Below are 6334 nucleotides of genomic sequence, written 5' to 3'. Positions count from 1 at the left end.
CCACCACCACCTTCACCACCTCTATTACCACAACCACCTCCATCACCTCCATCACCCCCACCACAACAGCCACTACCTCCACCTCCACCACCTTCACTACCAGCTTCACCACCTTCACCACCACTACCTTCACCACCACTACCTTCACCACCGCAACCATCACAACCACCTCTGTCACTTCCATCACCCCATCCCCACAACAGCCACCACCTCCACCTCCACCTCCATCACCTCCACCACCTTCACCACCTCCATCACCACAACCTTCACCACCTTCACTACCACTACCTTCACCACCTCGACCACCATAACCACCTCTATCACCTCCACCACCACCCAGCACCTCCACCACCTCCTCCACCACCACATTCATCACCTCTCCCATCTCTACCCCCTACCCCCATCCCCTTCACCATCACCTCTATCATCACCAACAACATCATCACATCCACTACCAACCCACCTCCATCACCTCCACTGCCTCCATCATCTCCACCACTTCCACCACGATCACCACCTACACCACCACCACCTTTACCACTTTCACCACCATCACCACCTCACCACCACAACCACCACAACCACCGCCACCACCACCTACACCACCACCACCTTTACCACTTTCACCACCATCACCACCTCCACCACTATCACCACCTCCACCACCTCTACCGCCTGCACCACCTCCACCACCTCCAGCAACTCCACCCCAGTACTACCACCATCTTCTTCACCTCCATCACCACCTTCACCACCTGCACCACCTCCACCACCTCCAGCAATTCCACCCCAGCACTACCACCATCTTCTTCACCTCCATCACCACCTTCACCACCTCCATCACCATTACCTCCATTGCCTCCCCCATCCCCACTACCTCCTCCACCTCCATCACTTCCCACACCACCTCCACCACCATTTCTACCATCTCACCACATTCACCACCTCCACCACCACCATCACCTCCATCACTCCTACCACCTCCCTAATAGCTATGCCCCTTCTGGTGAAGCAGGGCTAAATGCTACTGTCTTCTGGTCTCTCTGGAGAAAGCTTTATGGGAGAGGAAAGGCTTCAGCAATCCAAAACGCTCTATTTAGAAGCCACAGATGGTTTTTAGACCTCTTTGCTTATGATCCCCTTTTGGGGGGCTCCAACAAAGCCCGCTGGAGGAGAGTCCATGGCCAGCGCCCCTCTCTTGGGGAAATCATTTGGAAGAGCCCAGCCATGTCCCAGGCCACAGAATGCCACTCAGGTCTCGGGGCCCTGGGCAACTCTCGTCTAGAGAGGCTGCTCTTGGAATGCATCAAGAGCTCCGTCTTGGAATCTGTCCTTTCTGAGGGGTGTCCTCATGGCCAGCACCCCTCTCAGACCAGCTGGAGTCTCTCGGGTCTTGCCCTGTGCACTCTGCAGTGTCTGCCTTGGCACCAAGGCCCTCCTCACCCCTTGGCTGTGTCTTAAGGGTCTGTAGAAGTTTAGGCTTCCCAAGGCTGCTCCTCCTCCTCCACCTCTCAGAAGGCAGTGGAAGGCAGACGGAAAACCTTCCGTTTACTGAGCAGTAGGTGCTGGTAAACTCCCTTCTGTGCTAGAACAGCTGCGAGGGCAAATAACGGAGGGCGTTGTCCCCCAAACACAGCTGCTGCGAGTGAGCAGACCTGCGGAAGGGCGCGCCGAGGCCAGTGACCTTGGCTTCCCTTGCAGTTGCTTAGGGAGAGTTGAGATGGAGTTGAGTGAGGCCCAGGCTGGGGCCTGCACTCTTTGCACCACATAGAGCTCCTCTGTGTCCGGCTGCCAGGCCATGGGACATCCCCCGTATTGAAGGTGGGGCTGGGAAAAATGTCCTTCGGCCAAAAAGTAAACCACTAGTGTGTGCCCAGGCTTTGCCAATTTTATAAGAAGTGGATTTATTTCCTTCTTACCTCCAAAGAGGGCAGGGGAGAGCGTATGTGGGTGCAGCAGGCAGGTGCTGAGCACCTGACTCCACGGAGAAGGCCTCGCCAGGCAAATTCGCGGGAGCCGAATGCAGACCAAGAATTAAGGAGCAAGTCAAGTGAGAAGGGGCATCTGTCCCCCAGCCTAGTGCACTCAGCTGCACAGCATCCCGGTGAGGGGTGTGACCTGGATGCCAGGGGACTGGAGCTGGGGTGCTGGGGGCTGTTGAGTCCCCCAGAGGTCATGGCCAGCCCTGGGCAGCCTGTTTCATGCCTCTGAGGAGAGACTTGAGCACTGGAATTGATGAAGGTGTTCAGGTTCATTCAGACCCACTCCTAGGACAGGGGCCAATGCAGGACACGTGACGTGGGGACGTGGTGACAACGGCAGGCACTGGCTTTCCATTCACTTCCCCATTGCCCTGGATTGGTTCAGGGCAGGAGTGGCCCTGAGCTGCCATCATCCGCCTCCCACCTGCAATCGGAGCAGTGAAGGCCACGTGCATTCAAGCCAGAGCTTTGGAGTCGGGGCTGAGCTCAAACCTTGCCTCTCCTGGCTGCATGAGTGAGCTATCCATCGATTACAAGCCTCGGGTCCTCTCCCATTAAATGGAAATAGCAAGACTTCCTTCTCCTAGGGACGTGGTAAGGGTTGAAAGTGTGATTACAAACAAACAAAAAAAGGGGTTAGCACCAAAAGTGACTCCCAGGCAGCCCTCAGTGGACAGTTCCGAGTACAGAGGCGGAGGTGCTACAGTGAAAACGTCTGAAGTTCAAGGCCCAGCCTATCACTAAGTAGTCTGTGACCCGTGAGCTGGGACTGAGAGGCTTCCCAGTATGCGAGACGTTCCTTGCTAAAACTCAGAAAGTCCAGGCAAACTGGGGTGAGTTGGTCACTCTAGTTGGGAAAGTCATTTCACCCTTATAAAGTCGCAATGATGCCATCCAGTTCAGAGGGCCCTCGGCAAGACGTGTGTGAAAGTCCTTCCTGTTCACCAAGTGATGCACTAAGGAGGGGCAGCTGTCCTTGTCACTGTTGTCACTGACACTCCCCTGATCAAGTCCCTTTGCCGGTACAGCCCACACACCCAAGGGCTTTCAGCAATGACACCCTGGGGCAGCAAGCATGCCACCATCTGTGCGTTCCCCTCACCACAATCAAATGTGCCCACACTTCAGCCTGAAAGACCTGACAAGGAAAATCCCTCCACCACTTGCATTGTCTGGGTCCCAAACAGAACAGCAACAAGATCAGAGTTGCTGGGCAACAATCAATAAATAACAATGACCAGTAATGTGACATGGGTTTATTATGTACATGGAAATTCAGTTTCACATAGTTAAAAAGTTGTCCTCAAAGAAAAAAGCAAAACCTAGGCTCTTCATGGTAATCTCTGGCAAAGTGAGGTTCCTAAACTTCCAGCTTAACTAAGTTAGCTGAATGGCAGGCCTGGTTTTATAAAACAAAGAAAGCAAAAGCTCCACGTACTTCTAAGGTCTAGGGGGCTGGGGTTAGTATAGAAAGTTAGATTTATAGGGTGACTAGGCATTGACTGATGGGACCCACAGGAGACAGAGAAGACCCTAAGGGAGGGGACGAGGCCATTGTGTGGATGGGGCCACCAGCCGACACACTGGACACTGCCAGGCTGGCATGGTTTGAGATAGAGTAAGGGTGAAGTTTCCCAGGCTCTTGCCTGTAATCCCAGCACTTTGGGAGGCCAACGCGGGCAGATCATCTGAGGTTGGGAGTTCGAGACCAGCCTGACCAATATGGAGAAACCCCGTCTCTACTAAAAATACAAAATTAGCCAGGTGTGGTGGTGCATACCTGTAATTCCAACTACTCGGGAGGCTGAGGCAGGAGAATTGCTTGAACCCGGGAGGCAGAGGTTGCGGTGAGCCGAGATAGTGCCACTGCACTCCAGCCTGGGCAACAAGAGCGAAACTCTGTCTCAAAAAATAAAATAAAATAATTAACCATAACGTTAATTATGACCCAGCAATTCCACTCCCACCAATGCACCCAGGAGACATGAAACTGACATTCATACGAACAACCTGCACATGAATGTTCACAGCAGCATTACTCACAATCCCCAAAACAAGGATGCAACCCACACGTCCACCCACAGATAAGTGCATCAATAAAATAGAGTCTGTTCGCGCACTGGGCTGTTACTCCACCGTGGGAAGGAATGAAGGCCCGATGCACGCTACCACATGGATGAACCGTGAGAACATGCTAAGTCAAAGAGGCTGGTCGTGTTGTATGATCCCACCTGAAAATATGAAGTGTTCAGAATAGGGACCCCTCAGAGACAGAAACTGGATTTGTGGGCGCCATGGACTGGGGAAGGGAGGATAGAGGAGTGACAGCTACTGCACACAAGGTTTCTTTCACGGTGATAAAAATGTTTGGGACTTACTAATGATGATGACTGCACAACTCTGAAATATACTAAAACATACGAATTGCACACTTCTAAATGGTGAATTTTATAATAAGTGAATCATAGCTCAATTTTTAAAATTAAATTAAAAAATAATAAAACAGCAAGGGCCAAAGCAGCCCAGCCCTGGAAGGGCGGTTGGTAGGTTGGCCTGGCCCCCAGTCCTCACACCCCACCACTGCCGCCTCTGCCCGGCCCCCTCAAGACCAGGGGCCCAGGCCGACACCCCTCCACACCGGGGGAGCCACAGCCAAGTGCAGAAGCTCCAGCCCTGGCTCGGCACGCCTCCTGTCCGACCTGGCCACGCAGCTCTCTCCTGCACAGTCGGAATTCCTTCCACCCCCAGCCCACAGTGCAGCCATGGCAGGACAGGGGAAGACCAGGGGTGAACCATCTGGGTCGCCCTTGAGGGAGAAGAGACCCAGAGAGAAGAGGTCAAAAGAACGCTCTCAGGCAGAAACCGAGTGGCTTCCTGGGCCTGGGAACTGCAGTCCCTGGAGGAGACACCAGGCCAGGGACGAGGACCACGTGCTTGACTGTGCGAGCTGCATGAGCGATTGTGCAGTCCCTGAGCGGGTCTGGCAGCTCCAAAGTGCTTCGCAAAATCAGGACGCCCGGGGTGCTGGAGTCACACTCAGCGCTCTCTGCCAATCTGGGTTAAGCCCTTTCCAATCCCTGCAGGAGCACAGCCAGTCGGCAGGTCTCAGCTCCCATGTCTCACGGGGAAGAAACAGAGGCAGAGATGAGTCCAGGGAGGCTCCCACGGCCTCCCTCAGCTGTACGTGGCGGCAGGGCACCCATACCAGGCGCACGCCCTCAGCGGAGCTGCATGGGTCTGCCCGTGATGTGGAGCCTGGAAGAAGCCGACGTGCAGCAAGTCTTGGATGGGAAGATCATGAAGAACGCAGGCGTCCCTCTGAGCCCCTTCACCCCGCCAGCCCCACCCCAGGCTCCCAGCTTGCCCTCCGAGTTGGCCTTGTCAGGGAAAGGAGCCAGCAGACGCCCTCTCGCTCAGGTGAACAGGACCACCTCCGGGCTAAGCCTTCCATTCCAGTCTGTCCTCCCTGTGATCGCACCCGTAAAACCACATTCTGCTCCCCCACACCCTCTCCACGTCTGCGCATGCTTGCCCATTTTCTCACCCACAGGGGTGGGCGTCCCTCACCCCACGCCCTCTCCACGTCTGCACACGCTTACCCATGTTTCTCACCCACAGGGATGCACTTCCCTCACCCCACGCCCTCTCCACGTCTGCACACGCTTACCCATGTTTGTCACCTACGGGGATGCGCTTCCCTCACCAGGCTGCACCCTCCGTGACACAGGGCAGTGTTGCCCACTCTACATCCCGTGTCCAGCACAGGGTCTGATAAATATCGACAGAGTGAATGAATGAGTGAATGAATGAGTGAATGAATGAACGGGGACTCATGGATTTCTGCTACTCACCTCCCTCAGAGCATCTTCACCATGGAATGAGCAAAGCCACACAACTCCCCAGGACCCTCAGTGTCTGAGGAAGGGAAGGAAGCTTCAAGGCCACTCAATCCAACCTCCTTCCCAGAACTGAAACCCCCAAGCCTGCTTCCCAGGACGTCTGTCCCTTCTGCCCGGCGTGCACTCACAGGCCCCACTCTGACTGTGTAGAATCGGGGGGCTGTTTTCAGGGTGCCTTGCTCACTTCCCTAACACCTCATCCCTCCCGCCCCCACCAACGCCAAAGGAAGAAGGAAAAGGATGGGGGAGGAGGAGGGAAGAGAAAAGAAGAGAATCAAAAGAGAAACACAAGTCTAATCATCGAATAGCCCAGCGTGTGCCGAGAGGAAACGGGAGGCGGGATGAGCTCACAGCCCTGGGAAGGGAAGGGCAGGAGGCCCGGCCAGGCAGTGGTGACTCAGGGCTGTGCTTTTGTGACTTGTCCACAATGGTGGGGCGGTACACGGGCTCCAC

General features: G+C 54.9%; 1 annotated feature.

Annotated features, from left to right (window-relative positions):
* Positions 4876-6075: an enhancer, noted in NCBI's record as "CDK7 strongly-dependent group 2 enhancer chr7:155678617-155679816 (GRCh37/hg19 assembly coordinates)". NCBI's record gives its function as "activates an origin of replication core promoter dependent on BRD2, BRD4, P300/CBP, MED14 and CDK7 cofactors, with strong dependence on CDK7, by STARR-seq in HCT116 cells {active_cell/tissue: HCT116}" and the evidence as "EXISTENCE:reporter gene assay evidence [ECO:0000049][PMID:35650434]".

Source organism: Homo sapiens, chromosome 7 (genome assembly GCF_000001405.40).
Source record: "Homo sapiens chromosome 7, GRCh38.p14 Primary Assembly".
Classification (NCBI taxonomy): domain Eukaryota; kingdom Metazoa; phylum Chordata; class Mammalia; order Primates; family Hominidae; genus Homo; species Homo sapiens.
The sequence above is the reverse complement of the archived record's forward strand: the minus strand, read 5'-3'. Positions and strand labels throughout refer to the sequence as shown.